Source organism: Homo sapiens, chromosome 10 (genome assembly GCF_000001405.40).
Source record: "Homo sapiens chromosome 10, GRCh38.p14 Primary Assembly".
Taxonomy (NCBI): domain Eukaryota; kingdom Metazoa; phylum Chordata; class Mammalia; order Primates; family Hominidae; genus Homo; species Homo sapiens.
The window spans coordinates 110944695-110963254 of NC_000010.11; the positions used below are offsets into that span (position 1 = coordinate 110944695).

The 18560-nt window shown below is 35.7% G+C and overlaps 1 protein-coding gene across 13 annotated transcripts in view; it reads left to right on the top strand.

Annotated features, from left to right (window-relative positions):
- The window catches only part of SHOC2 (SHOC2 leucine rich repeat scaffold protein), a 94296-nt gene that overhangs the window by 25325 nt on the left and 50411 nt on the right, over positions 1 to 18560 (top strand). For 3 of the 13 annotated variants that reach the window (NM_001441185.1, NM_001324337.2, NM_001441186.1), the window contains one exon: positions 6914 to 7098. The exons of the other annotated variants lie outside the window; for them this stretch is intronic. The gene's annotated coding sequence lies outside the window, so the exon portion shown is untranslated. The remainder of the gene's footprint in view (positions 1 to 6913; positions 7099 to 18560) is intronic. 13 annotated transcript variants of the gene reach the window in all.

The window sequence follows — 18560 nt, forward strand, 5'->3', positions numbered from 1 at the left end:
GTTTCTTCATTTAATTTCTTTTGTGAATTAATTCTGCAAACTCTATTTGATGTGTGTGACTACCTCAGTAGATAATTCAGTCTCTAGTTGGTTAGCTTAGTTGTTGCTAATGACTGGACAAAGATTTCTTTACATGCCTGGAACCAGTAAATCTCCTAGTCTTTGCCAGAGGATTTTGTGTGTGTGTGTCTTGGGGCATGCCTTCAACACTCAGCTGGGTAGTTGGCAACTCTGCCTTGTCCTTATGTCCTGCTTGTGCAGAGCTTCAAAGCTTAGGCCCTTTTCAGGTCTTCCTTGAGCATGTACACAGCCTTAGGCATGTGTATGACCTTCTAGATTCCCAGTAATATGTCAGAGCTTTTCAAAGTCTGTTACGGGTATTTCATTCTCAGCTTTTCCTTTTAAGATTTAAGTCTGTTGCTCCAACTGTTATTCACTGCCTCAAGTAGATATGGTATAAAACACTTTCCTGTAATTTTTTTCAATGAATATCTCCCTGGGGAAAAGGCGTTTTGCATTGTGCAAGCTCTGAGTCAGGTCACATACGGTCAGCATTGCAAATAGGGTCTTCCTGGAAACAAGACTGCTCAAGCAATAATTTGGGGAGAATGAAGCTTTGAATGAGCTACAACTCTTGCTGCTTTTTAACGTAGCTTCTAGAGTGCACTGGGAATGTGAGCTGTCGTTTCTTCAAGACTACTGTGGATCTGGAGAGCAAGGGATGGGACTAGGGCAAGTTAAAATAGAAAGCTCATCATTCTTAATGAGATTGAGCTTTTTAAAAATAAATGCAACTTGGATGCAAGCTTTTTATTAATTTTTAGAGTTCTGATAAAGTTGATTCTATTTTCCAGTTTTCTTTGTGCTTTTGTGGAAGAGACAGTTTTTAGAGATGCTTACTCTGCTGTTTTCTGTGATGTCGCCTCCACTTGGGCTTTGCCATCCCACACTGACAGACCTCCATGTTTGACTCTCCCTATCTCCACCCCAACCCCACTCAGACTCTGACTCTCCATGCTAGGCTTACCCTGTGTGTGAATACCTTTTCACCTTGCTTGAAATCTTAACTGTTCATGTTGCGCAGCCTCCTCCTTAACCATCAATCAAGCCTATTATGTAGAAATCTTCCTCACTCTCATAGACTCCAGTATCACACCCTGGTTCATCACTACCTGTGGATGTTCTTCTCACCCCCAATCAGGTTCTGATTCTCTGTGTTGAGCTATCTTCCTATGAGCATACCCACCCTATCCCAATTGGCCTCTTAAACATCTTGTGGGTTACCATCATATGTCAGTGTTCATCTCTTCCTGTTCTAACTGATACCCTACACAGAACTGCATCTTTGTGGGATTGTCCTTTTCATCCTACTCAGGCCCTGAGTAGGATTTTTTTAATCAAATAAAAATCCCTTCAGTTTGAATAGTATAATCATGATATCACTCAGTGAAATCCTTGATATCTTATTATTGTAGTGGTAACTTCTGATGGGTATGGGAATGACAATTCTATACCATGCCTTCTTTATTTTTCATTTTAGTTTTACTGAGATAACATATTTTGAAGCTGATCATTTATATTTCTTAAAGAAGAAATTTATTCTAAAAAATTATGTCTAGATACATTAATTTGTTGTTTTATTCATGTAGTAACCATTTCTTGGGCATCTAGTATTGGCCAGGTTCTAGGCTCTGAATATACAGCTGCAAACCAAATAGTCAGAAGCCCCTGCTTTCACAGTTTTCACATTCATAGAGGAGAGGGAGATGATAGACAAAATAAATAAGTAAATATATTTTATGAGGTAGTAAATGTTGTGAAGAAAAATAAAGCAGGGTAAAAAGAATAGGAAGACATTTCTCTTTTATATGTAGATCAAGAATGAGATATTTGAGCAGGGAACAAACAATGTGGATATTTGAGAGAAAGGGCTGTATCTATGCAGATGGAATAGCTAGAACAAAGACTTCATGTGTGAGCATGTAGATCTGCATTCAAAGAAAAGCAAGATTAATATGAATGGAATGCAAGTACCTAGCGGGGAGAGTTGGAGAAAAGCTAGACAAGTGTAGGGGCTAGATCATGTGGAGTCTTGGAGGTTGGAGGTAAGGGCTTGCCTTTTATTTTGAAAGATGGGATGGCATCAGATTTTTTAAGCAAGGGAGTGACTTCATCATATTTAAAAGTTAAATAGGAAGAGTGATGTTAGTAAAATGTCAGAATAGTAGTTTTCAGCATTTGTTTCTTCACAGAAGCATTTCGAATAACCACTCATAGACAAAAATACCTTCACAAGAGCTAAGGATTCCAAATGATAGATTGTAGCACCCGGGTGTAGCATAGATACAACAAATGATGCATTGAAGAGGATAGGAACTACAGTTGCACATTAATTGTTTCACCCCTTCCCAAGCCTGTGCAGCACAGTATGGAGATAGATGCCCTCCAAGTGGAGGAAGGAGAGTCAAGTGAGCCCCTAACTTTACTGTGAACCCCAGCACTAGAACCACCTCAGTGAACCCCAGTGCCAGGCTGGCACCCATGGACCCAGGCACCAGGCCAGATCCCACAGAACCAGTCTCCAGACCCATCCTTGCGGATCCAGTAACTGAGGCTAGCCTGCTGGAGAAGTCAGGCAGCAAGCCTGCTCGTGGACTATGCCAGCCATGCTGTCCGGAATCTCTGGACAGGCTGACTGGTAAAGGGCTTCCTATGTTAAAGCTCCTCTGTAAAGACTGGAGAGGTGACTACTTCTTCAAATATGCAGACACCAGTGCAAGTCCATAAGGATCTCAAATGATCAGGGAAACGTGACACCATCAAAGGAACAAAATAAAGCTTTAGCTATGATAATTTGTTGATAAATATATAATCTAAAAAGATATAAGTTGTGTCCTCAATAATGTAAACTTGGAGAGGGTGTGGAGAAGTTAAGAGTTTTTGTATGTGATTGAAATTAAATTTTTATCAGCTTAACAACAGACTATTATAACTACAAGATGTCTTATATACATTTCGTGGAGAAAAACCCCTGTAAATACACAAAAGATAAAGAGAAAGCAAATAAGTACCAAAAAAAAAAAAAAAATCAAATCGCAAAGGAAAACATTAAGAGAAGATGAAAGAAATAGAGGAGCTACAAGATAGTCAGAAAACAACAAAATGACAATGTTAAGACTTTATCCACAATTACTTTTAATGTAAATGGATTAAGTTCTCTAATCAAAAGGCAGAGTTTTTTAAAATATATTTTTCAAAAGATCCTACAGTATTATGCCTAAAAGAGATTCATTTTAGCATTAAGGACACACATAGGCTGAAAATGAAGAAATGGAAAAAGATATTTCACGCAAATGGTAACCAGAAGAGAATGGGGTGGCTATATTTATGTAAGATAAAATAGACTTCAAGTCAAAAACTGTCATAAGAGACAAAGTCATTATACAATGATAAAGAAGGCAGTTCATCCAGAAGATATAATAGTTGTAAATATATATACACTCAACATCAGAGCACCAAAATATTTTTTATAATGAGAAAGCCAAGATTCTAAAATCTTAACAGAAATGATAGGAACAATAGATAGTAATATAATAATAGGGACTTTTGTACCTCTGCTTTAGCAATAGATAGATTAGCCAGACAGAAAATCAATAAAGAAATAACAGACTTGAACAACATTTTAGGCCAAATGGACGTAACAGGCATATACAGAGCATTCCATTGAACAGTAGCAGAATATACACTCTTTTTAAGTGCACATTGAACATTCTTTAAGACACATTAGGTCATAAAACAAGTGTTAAGAAATTTGAGAAGATTGAAATTGTATCAAGTATTTTTTGTAAGCATAAGAGTATGAAACTAGAAATCAATAACACCAGGAGGAAAACTGGAAAATTTACAAATATGTGGAAATTAACACATTCCTGAACAACCAGTGGATCAAAGAAAAAAGGGACATTTGAAAAGGTGTCTCGAGACAAAAGACAGTGGAAACACAACATAGCAAAACTTACGTGAAGCAGCAAAAGCAGTTTTAAGAGGGAATTTTATGGTGATAAATGCTTACATTAAGGAAAAAAGAAGATAATCAAATGAACAACCTTACTTTGTATCTCAAAGGACTAGAAAAAGCTTGTCCAACCTGTGGGCCACATGCAGCCCAGGATGGCTTTGAATGTGACCCAATACAGACTTGTAAACTTTCTAAGTTTCTTAAAACATTATGAGAGATTTTTTGCATTTTTTTTTTCCCAGCTCATCAGCTGGCGTTAGTGTTAGTGTAAATTACTTGTGGCCCAAGACAATCCTTCTTCCATTGTGGCCCAAAGAAGCCAAAAGATTGGAAACCTTGTACTAGAATCCAAACCAGACATAAAGTTGTTAGAAGGAAAGGAATAATAAAGATCAGAGCAGAAATAAATGAAATAGGGACTAGAACAACTGTAGAAGAGATAATGAAACTAAGAGTTGGTTTTGTGAAAAGAAACTGAACTGACAAATCTTTAGCTAGACTATGCAAAAAAAGGACTCAATTAAAATTACAAATGAAAGAGAAGCCATTACAGCTGATACAACAGAAATACAAATGAGATAATAAGAGACTACAATGAATAACTATACACAAACAGATGGATAGCCTAGAAGAAATAGAAATTTTTTTCTAGAAGCATAGCGTCTACCAATCATGAAGAAAGAGAAAATCCAATCACACCCAGTGACTGTAAGGAGACTGAATCAGTAATCAAGAACCTCCCAAAAAAGAAAAGCTTTGGACCTGAAGGCTCCACTGGTGAATTCCAACAAACCTTTAAAGAAGACATAGCACAAGTCCTAAAACTCTTCCAAAACCTTAGAGGAGGGAATACTTCCAAACTCATTTTACAAGTCTGGTGTTGCTGTGATACCAAAGCCAAACAAGGACACTAAAAGAAAAAAAAAATACAGGTCAGTATCTCTGATTAACGTAGACGCAGAAATCCTCAACAAAATACTACTAAACTGAATTCAGCAACACATTAAAAGGTTCACACACAGTGAGCAAGTGGGATTTATCCCAGGGATGCAAGGATGGTTCAGCATATGCAAGAACCAATAAATGATACAACACATTAACAGAATGAAGGACAGAAATTGTGTGATCTCTCAATAGATACAGAAAAAACATTTGACAAGATTATCACTTTGTGATAAAAACTCAACAAATTAGGGATAGAAGGTACGTATCTCAACACCATAAAGATTATATAAGCCCTCAGGTAGCTGGAAGCTTGTCCTCTTAAGATCAGGAAGAAGACAAGGATTTCTTCTCTCATCACTTCTAGTTTATAAAGTACTGTACATCTGAATCAAAGCAGTTAGACCTGAAAAAGAGATAAAAGATGTGGAAATCAATAAGGAAAAAGTAAAATTGTCTTTCTGTAGATAACATGATCTTATATGTAGGAAACCCTAAGGACTCCGCCAAAAATGTTAGAATTAATAAATGAATTCAGTAAAGTTGCAAAATATAAAATTAGCTTACAAAAACCAGTTGTGTTTCCATAAACTAACAATGAATAAGAAGTTAAGAAAACAATCCCCTGTACAGTAGCATAAAAATAAAAAGGAATAAATTTAACAAAGGAGGTGAATGATCTACACAGAAATCGATAAAACATTGATGAAAGAAATTGAAGAAGACACATAAATGGAAAGATATCCTGTTTTTGAATTTGAAGAATTAATATTATTAAAATGTCCATACTACCCAAAGCAATCTATATATTTGATACAACAGCTATCAAAATTCCAATGATATTTTACACAGAAATAGGAAAAGCAATCCTAAAATTTGTATGTAACCACAAAAGACTCCAAGCAGCCATAGCAAGAACAATTCTGGAAGCATCATACTACCCGATGCCTCCATAATTGTTCAAAATATACTACAAACCTAGTAATCCAAACAGTGTGGTACTGGCATAAAACCAGAGATAAAGACCAGCAGAACAGAACAGAAAGCTTATACCATGTGTACAATCAGTTGATCTTTAACAAAGATGTTAAGAACACAGAATGGAGAAGTGATCGTTTCTTCAATAAATGGTGTTGGAAAAACTGAATATCCATATGCAGAAGCATGAGCATAAAAATTTCATTCCTGTACTATATATAAAAACATGAAAATAATTACACCATGTACAAAAATCAACTCAAAATAGATTAAAGACTTAAAGAGCGAAAACTGTAAAATTACCAGAAGAAAACAAAGGGAAAAGTTTCTTGACATTGGTTGGGGCAATGATTTTTTGGATATGACCCCAAAAGCATAAGGAATAAAAGCGAAAATAGAGAAATGGTATTGCATCAACTGAATAAGCTTCGGCACAGCAAAGGAAATGATCAACAGAGTGAACAATAATTGACAGAATAGGAGAAAATATTTGCAAACCATACATTTAATAAAGGCTTAATATCCAAAATATATTTAAGAACTCAATGATACAAAAACAACCCAAGTTTTTAAGATGAACAAAGGACTTGCATTGATGGTCTTCAAAAGACAACATACAGTGTACATCAGGTATGTGAAAAAATGCTCAACGTCATTAATCATCAGGGAAATGCAAATAAAAACCACAATGAGATGTCACCTCACACCTGTTAGATGTCACCTCATACCTATTATCCAAAAGACGATAATAAGACTGTAAGTGTTGGTGGGGATATAGAGAGAATAGAACTCTTTTACACTGTTGTAAATTGGTACAGCCATGTACTGAAAAATAGTATGGAGTTTCATAAAAAAATTAAAAAGAGAACTACCATATATGATCCATCAATCTCATTTCTTTGACTTCTTGGTACGTATCTAGAGGAAATGAAATTATTATATTGTGAAATGTCTACGTTCCCATGTTCATTGCAGCATTGTTTACAATAACCAAGATATGAAATCAACCTATGTCTTCATTGATGGAAGAATACACACAGAAAATGTGACGTTCAGCCTTCAAATCTAGGAAATCCTGATATTGGTGACATGATCTGATCTTGGCCCACTGCAACCTCTGCCTCCCAGGTTCAAGCGATCCTCCCACCTCAGCCTCCCAGGTAACTAGGATTATAGCCATGTCTGGCCAATTTTTCTGTATTTTTGGTAGAGGTGGGATTTCACCATGTTGGCCAAGCTGGTCTTGAACTCCTGACCTCAAGTGATCCGCCCGCCTCAGGCTCTTAAATTACTGGGATTACAGGTGTGAGCCACCACGCCTGGCCTAATAATGTCTTTTCAATTGATTAAAACTTACAGGCACAGGGCTGTTTTTATTTTTGATTTAGGACAGACTTAAGAGGTCATCTGTAGATTGTTACAGACAATGAAACTACTAGTTTCTCTTAAATATTGCCCTCTTTCACACTAGTTAACCTTAATTTTTTGCCTTTTTACGTTTTGTTTTTTTCAGCTTTTAATAAAGCAGTAATTTAAGTGATTTTTTCCAGTTAAATTTTTAAAATATAGTCTTCACTTTTAGATAAATTTTAGGTTCATAGCAAAATTGAGTTGGAAGTACAGAGTTCCCGTATATTCCCTTTTCCACCCTACAAGCGAAGTCTTCCCTGCCACCACCATCTTGCATCAGAGTAAGCACATTCATTATTATTGATGAACTTGCATTAACATATTATCACAGAAAGTGCATAGTTTACATTAGGGTTTTTACTGTTGTAGGTTCAATGGATTTTGACAAATGTGTAATGACATATAACTATCACTATAGTATCATAGGGAATTGCTTTACTGCCCTGAAAATTCCTGTGTTCCACCTATTCATCCCTCACTCCCCCAACCCCTAGCAATAACTGATTTTTTTTTTTTAAGTTTACTTTAAGTTCCAGGATACATGTGCAGAATGTGAAGGTTTGTTACATGGGTATACATGTGCCATCATGGTTTGCTGCATCGATCAACCTGTCGTCTAGGTTTTGAGCCCTGGCTGCATTAGGTGTTTGTCTTAATGCCCTCCCTCCCCTTGCCCCGCACCTCGCAAAAGGCCCTGGTGTGTGTTGTTCCCCTCCGTGTCCATGGGTTCTCATTGTTCAATTCCCACTTATGAGTGAGAACATGCAATGTTTGGTTTTTTGTGCCTGTGTTAGTTTGTTGAAGATGATGGCTTCCAGCTTCATCCATGTTCCTGCAAAGGACATGAGCTCATTCTTTTTTTGTGACTGCATAGTATTCCATGGTATATATGTACCACATTTGTTTATCCAATTTGTCATTGATGGATGGGCATTTGGGTTGGTTCCATGTCTTTGCTATTGTAAATAGTGCTGCAGTAAACATATGTGTGCATGTGTCTTTATATTAGAATGATTTATACTCCTTTGGCTATATACCCAGTAATGGGATTGCTGGGTCAAATGGTATTTCTGGTTCTAGATCCTTGAGGAATCGCCACACTGTCTTCCCCAATGGTTGAACTAATTTACATTCCCACCAGCAGTTTAAACGTGTTCCTGTTTCTCCACAGCCTGGCCAGAGTCTGTTGTTTCCTTACTTTTTAATAATCACCATTCTGACTGGCGTGAGATGGTGTCTCATTGTAGTTTTGATTTGCATTTCTCTAATGATCAGAATCACTGATCTTTTTATTCTCTCCCTGGTTTTATCTTTGCCAGAAAGTCTCATAGTTGGATTCATACAGTATGTAGCCTCTGCAGATTGGCTTCTTTCATTTAGAAATGTGCATTTAAAATTCTTTTGTGTCTTTTTGTGGCTTGATAGCTTATTTCATTTTAGCGCTGATTAATATTGTATTTTATGATGTACCACAGTTTATTCATTCACCCATTGAAAGACATCTTGGTTGCCTCTAAGTTTGGGCAATTATAAAGCTGCCATAAACATCTGTGTACAAGTTTTTCTGTGAACATAGTTTTCATCTCATTGGGTAATACCAAGGAGCACAATTGATGGATTGTATAACTTGTGCGTAGTTACAGTAAATCTTTGAGAGAGAGATATATATATACACACACACACACGTGTATATATATATATATATTTTGATAGGTTTGATGTGTATATATATTTAAACCTACCATCTTATGCCACATATTTGGTGGATTGGGGGGAATAGAAAAGGAAATATACTTTAAAAATGGATATCTGGTGATACCTCTTCTATAGTATAAAAAGGAAAATTTTTAATTATATATAATTATTACTTTTTAATATATTTAACCTAAGTGAAGTCATCTATCTTGGTTTATTTTATTTTCTAATTTGGGTTGTCTATAAGCACTGATTTAGTTTTTGTTGACCAAAAATTTGTTGAAAAATTACATTTTTATTCTAAATAATTTGTATTCAGGAAAAGCTACTGTTTGCCTCTTTTTAAGGAAAAATAAGTCCATTGTTTTTGTGTATAATTTATTAATGTTTATATTCCAATTTAGTGTTCACAGTATATACTGTTAAAATATTTACTTATATTAATATTAAATATTACAAATTTAATTTCTTTTTTACTAAAAGATATTGTCCTAGAATAGAAATTGAAATATTTGAATTAATTACATGTTTTATTTTCTGATTATACATTTTTTAACATGAGAGAGGCAGCTTGGTTAGGGTGGCAGGAGTATATTGACTATGGAATCAGAAGACTTGGTCATCTAGAATCATCTCATTCACTACCTAGTTATATGATAAATGTTTATGTTAGCATCAAAATAAAGGGGTAGTATCAGCTAGCTTCTTTGCAGCAGATTCTCAAGTCACTTTGAAATTAAAAGTGCCTTTGAAATTAAAGTTTAAATGTTTTGTTATTTTAATATGGGTCTTAACTACTATAAAACAGGAACTGATAAAGATGCTAACAGTATATTTGTGAACAAGACAGACAAGGTCCCTTATCTTATGGAAGGAAGTCTTACAGAGCTTACATTCTTGCAGGGAAATGGGATGTATCATAAGCAAATAAACATAAAAGAGTAAAGTAATTTCATATACTAATAAATGTTATGAAGAAAATAAAACAGGATAGATGGTCAGAGAAGGCTTTATTTAAGGGGTGAAGCTTGAGGTGAGTCCTAAATATTATAAAGAGTCAGCCATGTGAAGACTGAGGAAGAACATTCCAGGCAGAGGAAACACAGACAAGGGCTTGAGGTAGGAAAGAAATTGATGTTTTCAAGGAACAGTAAGAGCAGTGTGACTGGGGAATAGTAAGCCAGTGAGAGATTGGTAAGAGGTAAGGTTGAAGAGACAGGCAGGGAAACCTTTTCCTAAAATATGTTAATTTTGAGATTTAATGGGGCAACTCTAAGATGTCTTTTCTTTACCTAATATTTGAAAAATTAGCCATTTCTAGTCCTCTGTAACATTTTGTGCTGCATACGGCGGTTAGAGAATTTGAGCAGGAGAGTAATATGAACTATTTGGATAAAAAGTGCTTTGTTCACTTTTTGGAGAATGGATTTAAAGTATGTGGGAATCAGCAGGCCAAGGTAGGAGACAAGGTAGTTCAAGAGAGAGACGATGAGAGCTTGGAGTACGGTGAAGGCAATGAATGTGGAGAGTAGACGATTTGTGATTCATTTTGACTAAAGTCCACCATGTTTGCCAAAGGTTTGGATATGGGAAATTAAGGAAGGAGGAATAGGAATAACTCTTAAGTTTCTTAAGTTTCTTGCTTAACTGAATGTTGTCTTTTACTGAAATGGAGCAGTTTGGGATAAAGATCTGATTTTGGAAGGAAATCAAGTTTGATGCAAATGAGGTAGGTTTTTAGTGAGATTGGGGGGGAAATCTATTGATTATCTCAGTTCAGTTTAAAAGACATTTATTGAGGTCTCTGTATGCAGAGTTTTGTGTAGACTCATTAACTGCTGACTTAATAAATTCATACTTGCGGTATCACGTGTGGGACATCTGTTAACCTGTAGTGTGAAAGGGAACTTCAGGGGGAAAATAGAATCTTTTAACCAAGAAATACATAATGTGACTTTGTGTCATTGCTCTGTTTTCTATAATTTTTGTTTCAACCAAAATATTATAATTTCTTTTTTACTAAAGTACATTGTCCTAGAGTAGAAATTGAAATATGAGACTTAATTACATGTTTTATTTTCTGATATTACAATGTTCATTCAACACTGAACAAAGTTCCTGTTCTCGTTGAAGAGTTAGGAGGAAGGAAGGGTATAAAGACATAAGGAACAATTAAGCAAATAAAATAATTTTAGATAATTTAAAGGTCATTGTCATCAAAATTGGAAGATATGACAGAGTTGTAAGTGATGGAAACTTATTAAATATATGCTTTTTAATTACATGGGTCACACAACCCAAATATATGGCTATGTATGGGTAGCACATGCACCAACATATGTAGAGAATTATAGACTTTGCAGAGTCACCTGTAATAGCTTCCTCTGGTATCTGCATGTGCCTAATTGCCTGAAATGACTCCTGTGGATCCAACAGGTTTTTTACATTTCATGTCTTTTTTTTTTTGAGACGGAGTTTCGCTCTTGTCACCCAGGCTGGAGTGCAATGGCGCTCACTGCACTCTGCCTGGAGTGGCTGGAGTCTCGGCTCACTGCAACCTCCGCCTCCCGGGTTCAAGTGATTCTCCTGCTCAGTCTCCCAAGTAGCTGGGATTACAGGTGCGCGCCAGCACACCTGGGTAATTTTTTTTGGTATTATTAGTAGAGACTGGGTTTCACCATGTTGGCCAAGCTGGTCTCAAACTCCTGACTACATTTCATACCTTAAGACCACTCTGCTTCTTTGGATATAGCTGCTTGCAATTCTGCTGCTTTGCCTAATGTCCTGTGATACTTTGCTGCTTTTTAAAAAACCTTTGTTTTTCACAGCAGTGCTCCTTGTCCTAAAATATGTTGAAATTGTGGAATAAAAAGTTTAAGACTTTTCCAGTTTGAAAACTCTTCTTACATGTTAAAAAATGATAGTCTTGTATAAAATGAATGTTTTAAATCTTACATTTATCTTGATCTGCTTGGGTTTAGATTGTCTGCCTCTGTTACCTTATATAATCATTGTGTTTTTCATGTTTATGAGAAATAAAAGAAAAAATAAATGATTGGGCCCTAGGAAAAATCCTTTTTTTTTTTAAATAACAAAGTATTCCGTTTAATGTTCCTTTTAATATATTGCCAGTGAAATATCTCGTAAGTAGCTTCTTCTTGTAAGAAAGTTAGCTATATTTGTAGCCTCTTTAATTGAAAGAAAAGGTTCTAGCTGACCTGCAGAATTAGACATCAGGGTACCTTTTCTGGTGAACCTGGAGCTTTGTTCAGAGATCAAGAAAACAAGCTCTTTATTGGGCATTTGCCCTAAGGCAACATTAACTTAATAGATATTTTCTTCCTGTAATTTGCTGATCTTTGTATTTAAGTTTGGAAATAGCAATATTCATAAATGGGTACCTTTGGTTGTAGTATTGTTCCATGCTTTCATACCATTTAAATGGTTCATCAAGATAAAATATGTTATTGTAGTCAGCAAGATTGGTTAGAATAGTGCCCTGAATATCAGTAGCTCTGTATTCTAGTTTCAGCAACTCAGTGACTCCAATATGTGCTTGAGTAAATCAGCTCATTTCTTTACTTCTCAAAGTCTTAGGACTGTTGTGATTGAAAGCTTATTGCTTTGTTTTGCCATAATTTACTATCTTTTTAGCTTTTTAATGCTCGTCTGTTATACCGACTCTTTGACTTAACATAGTTTTTTACCTGGTGTGTATAATGCCGCATGTATATGTTTGTGGATAAATGTAAATTCTCCTGCAGGAAGAACATCAGATTCTTAATCATGAAGATACCCCCCCCCCAGCCCACAATTTCCAACTCACTCTTCCAGTTTCTTGATCACTCCCTTTTCCTCTAATTATCTAAGAAACTAATGGCTTATTAGGTTCACTTTTTTCTCCTTACCAGCCCAAACTGTACTGTCTGGTCCCTTATTTTTCTGCCACACTTGCCCTGTGAATCCCCTCAACTTTAAATTAATTTAGGAATACAATTTAGATTGCCAAGTACAGTTTTGGAGATTGATGCCACGACAAATTAATGATATCAAAATTTATCAGACTCAGCAATTTTATTTATCTCTGGTCTATGTCCTCATACATTCCTTTTACTTCTTTCATCAACCCCTTAGCAAACTTTGCCTTTCATGTTCTCAACAGATTAATTTGCTTCTGTTTCACCAAACAAATATGATTCTGTATGTAACTGGAGATGATAATCCCACTTAACTCTCTTATTCCTCCTCCCTTCAAACAAACTTGTCTGTAGCTGAATCCATTCTCATTTTTTAATTGAAAGGAAAAAAGATCCGTCTTCTCTAAGGCTAAGTTTTCTGCCAGTATGCTACATATTTTTGACTACTCCTTCCTTCTAAAATTTAAATAGATGAACTGGCTGCTGCTTTGACAATACCCTTTCCTAGTTTATGTGTACCTCTGTTTCTCTTTGAGGCCTTTGTCTTCCATCCATTTCTTTCTTTCTTTTTTTTTTTTTAAGACGGAGTCTTGCTCTGTTGCCAGGCTGGAGTGCAGTGGTGCGATCTTGGCTCACTGCAACCTCTGTCTCCCAGTTCAAGCGATTCTTCTGCCTCAGCCTCCTGAGTAGCTGGGACTACAGGTGTGCACCACCACGCCCAGCTAATTTTTGTATTTTTAATAGAGACGGGGTTTCACCATGTTGGCCAGGATGGTCTCAATCTCCTGACCTCCTGATCCGTCTGCCTCAGCCTCCCAAGATGCTAGGATTACAGGCGTGAGCCACTGCACTTGGCCCATCCATCCATTTCTAAATATTTATCTTCCCCAGAGTACCAGTATCATCTTCTACATGCGTTTTGTGGATAGTCTCATCTGAAACCTTTGCTGTTGACACCAAAGCTGTATCTTTATTTCTAGCCCAGACCTCCCTCCTTTATTCTAAAATCACATTTTCAAGTGTGGACTAGACTAGAATCTAAGTATAAATTTGTTCAAAATTTTACTAATTTTCTTTTTTTTTTTGTTCCCTGTCTTGAATAATCATGCTGCCTCCACCTGATTTAAGCCGGCTACTCAGACATTACCCTGAATCCCTTCCTTCTCCCTACTCCTGTTCATCCCCAACTGCTTTCTGTTTCTAGAATTATTCCTATATTTTCCTAGTACCTTTGTAGTTTAAACCAATTGTTCTCAAGTACATCAGACCTAATATCCCATTTATGCAACATTCTGTAACACTTCCTTACTCTTAAAATGATAGTAACCTACATTATTTTTAAAAATCTATGTAATTTCTTAAAGGAGATATATAAGAAAAATATTGTACATTTTATATGTTATGTAAATGCTTAGGCACAATGATATTAGAAAAAAATGAAGAATTTATTATACATTTTATGTTTCAGTATTTAAGTGTTCAGGCACAATACCAGAAAGCAATGAAGAGCAAAAGTTTGTACATATGTCCTCATGAATGTGATTGTTAGAAGTGCAAACTGATATAGACGTGTTATATTTTTGACTCGGATACCAAGATCAGTATGAGTATCAGTGATCATCAGAAATAACAAATAACTCTTAAAGAATAGTGCAAAAATATTGCAGTTTTTGTGTAAAATGGAATTAGGTGCTCAAAATTATAAACAGGTATTTCACCTAGTTATATATCTGGTAGGTATTTGAAGGTTGTACAGTATGCAAGGATAGTTCTCATCTCCAGACCTGGCCCATTAAATGCCAGTAGCATTTCTCTAAACATTGAGACAACCTAAAGTGAACCTACAAAATTCCAAAATACTGTAGCTAAAAATAGTTAGATTGTACCTTTATCATGTTTAGCATGGACTGTTGCAGTGGCTTCCAAATTCGGCTCTACATAGAATCACCTGGAAAACTCTTTAAACATACAGCTTACTGTTCCCTACCACAGATATTTATTTTGTTAGCATTCTTGGATTAGGGGTTAGGATTTCTAAGCTCGCCAGATGATTCTTGCTGAAAATGTCTGGCAATGATTGAACATTAGGGAATTCTTGCTGAAAATGTCTGGCACTGATTAAACACGAAATTATTACTGCTTTTTAAATTTTCTGCCTTCCTTCTGAAGTCCTGACTGTTTACAGTCATTCTAAACATTGTCAGGTAAATTTTGTTAAAATATGACTGTAATCATAGCCTCTTCTCCTTCAGGAATCCTTTATTGGCTTTTTATATTTACTCTTGGCAGCCCCTAAGAGTACACTGCTGGAACATTAGAGTTGAAAGAATCATGATGTCTGCATGATAAAGTCCAAATTACTAAATTTGAATAACCAGCGTTTCCAAATTTGGCAGCCTACATTTTTTACTTCTTGTGTCCAATTTGCATAAAAATATAGTTCCTGAAAGGAATGATTTAAAACCTGACACTGACTTATGACAGGGCTTGGGAAACTATGGCCTGATGGCCAAATCCAGTTTGAGGTCTGTTTTTGGTAAAGTTTTATTGAAACACAGCCACTCTTACTCATTTGCATATTGTCTACTTTTATGCTAAACTGACAGAATTGAGTACCTGCAGCAGAAAGCAATCTGTCTTGCAAAGCCTCAATATTTAAAATCTGGCCCTTTACAGAAAAAGTTTGCTCACCCTTGACTTAGAAGCCATTAGAAGCCTAAATGAATTGTAATCACCACCGTCATATAGTCATGATTTGGATGTTTTATCTCTGAAATCCAACATGGGATGGGAAAAGAATATATCTGGGCTTTTGAGTCCTGACCAGGCTGACCTGGTTTTGAATTTTTCCTTAGTCACTTAGTAGGTATCTGACTTTGGTGCCTCAGTTTTCTCATCTGTAAATTGGGACTAGAGGAACTATTCTACTTAGGAATTTGAAATTCAGAGTTTTCATAATTTGGAATATAGTTATGTTCCAGAGAAAAATGGTATCAACTCAGAGCTCCACCAAGTTTGTAGTTTTTATTTGGTTTTGTTTTTGAGGAATCTCTCTCTGTCGCCCAGGCTAGAGTGCAGTGGCACAATCTCAGCTCACTGCAACCACTGCCTCTTGGGTTCAAGTGACTCTCCTGCTTCAGCCTCCCGACTAGCTGGGATTACAGGCGCCCGCCACCACGCCCGGCTAATTTTTGTATTTTTTAGTAGAGATGGCGTTTCACCATGTTGGTCAGGCTGGTCTCGAACTCCTGACCTTAAGTGATCCGCCTGCCTCAGCCTCCCAAAGTGCTAGGATTACAGACGTGAACCACCACGCCTGGCCAAATTTGTAGTGTTTTTGTTTGGGGTCACTAATGGTTAAGTGTATTCAAGGGAGCTAACATATCAAGTGCTTCATATGCGGTAGTTATTAGGTGGAGGTGAATAAAAGAGTCCTCTGGGGTAGTAAAGATCCCTGTATAAAAACCTCCTTGCCAGCCTCAGCTTAATTATTGTTGCAATTTTATGCTTTTATCACTAGATTTCAAGCATTTTGAGACTGGGTACTGTGTATTCTATTACCTAAATGAGTGCAAGATTCAAATTTTATGCAAATATAGCCTTCCCCCAAAACATAGTGGAGTTGAAGTGATTAAAAAACAACTATTAAATAAATAACTTATTTCCAAGAAACATGAAAGATTACTCTCAATATGTTTTCTTATCTAAAACGTTTGACAGTGTCACCTGATTCAGGTCTGAACTAGATCCAGAACTTAATTTTTGACTGTCAGATAATTTGTTAGTTCTCTTGGCCAAAAATATTTTTACTGGATGTGAAAAATTTTTAGTTAATAGCTAGGTCTGGCTGGTTAGTTAATTCCCTTAAGTAAAGCATAGTAATTTTGTCAAGGTCAAAAGCTTTATTCTCTGACTAGTTATATTTCTTATGAGCTATTATTGAACTATATATATCAGCAAATCTCATTAGGTACAAGTGCTACAGGATGAGTTTGGGGGTCACTAGTTCAAATTCATCACCACTGCAGTAAACCCATCAGACAGTTCAAGTATCAGTCTGAATTTCAGATACAGTGGCTAGTATTATGGATTATGGGAAGTCCTTTTAGATTTCAATGGGAACTTTATTAATAACTTATATTTTCATTAATACAGTTTCTTTCTTGACCCACCCATTACCTTCAACCTTCATTGTTTTTTAATTATATTTGAAAAATATAATATTAAATATACTGGTGTTCAGATCTTACATTTGGTCATATCATGTGTTTCCCGAACTTGATAAGCTTTTGTTGAGGCGTTTATTTTTATAAAATACCTAGACCCCCTCTCCCTAAAATTTTGATTCAGTGATTTGTGATGGAGCCTGGGAATTTGTATTTTTAAACAAATATCTCAGGTCACGTATTTTCTTTTTTCGTTTTTATCATTAGAAAAGTTTACTTTTTATTTCTTTCCAAGTTTTCTTACCTTTTAATAGGGGTAATCTTGTTCTATCCTCTGTACTTAATATATGTGATTTTACACCTTATATATTTCATTTGATCCTTATATAGGAGGTGTCCTTCTAAATTTAGGGTATACATATCTTGCTAAATAGAAATTTGATTTCCAGAAACTTGATATAATGACATTTCTTAAATACAAATTGATAAGCAATGCCTGTAACCCTTTAGCTATGCATATTTCCCATTATTCAGTTGTATGGTTTTAGTAAATGTACTTTCATATTGGCTTATCAGCATTATTTTCTGAATCAGTATCTCTAGAGTTTTTCTTAGTCTCTCTCCATCGCAGTGCAAAATAATTTTTTTCTTTTTTTTTGAAAGGGTTGAATAGTAATAGATAGAGCTCTCCTGGTGTGCTAGCAAATAATGATGTATTTGTTTAATTGTAGAATCTTATATACCAGTAAAGTTCATACTGTGCAGTTTCAAATTTACAGATTATTCATCCTCTACCCCAGTTCCTGTTATTTCTGCACATTTGACCATTTGCTTCAGCAAAGTGACACATTTTCAGTGTCCCGTGCAAACTAAGCTCCACTCCCTATTCTAGGCAAAACTTTCTTTTTCATGCCACCCACCTGTAATGCTTTGCCATCTCTCCTTTACTTGCTTGAACACAACCCATTAATCCAGGACTAGTTAGCCTAAGTCCTGTATGCTTTTCTCAACCATTCTCACTGTTACAAATTTTCTCAAAAGTGCTATAGCATATGCCACTTGCCTGAGGATTTAATAATATGCTGTCTTATCAATTACTTGTTATATGTGAGTGTTTTGGCTGTCTAATTAAACTACAAGCTTGTATACAGAGAGGTTCACATCCTATAAAAATAAATTATTAGCAGAATCCTTAGCACTTAACATTATCACATCCTTTTGGTAGTCTGACAAAATTCTAATAACTGTTTTAACCTCTTAAGCTAGTCAGGTAAGAAGTTATTTTATCTTTAATCCCTAGTACCAAATAATTACCAGTTAGTTAAATAGAGTTAACAATAGAGTCATAAAATAAGAATTACTAATTTTAAATTTCAAAATGTTTAGGGAGGACTGATTCCTTCCATAAATATTTTACTAATCTTTTTGTCCTTT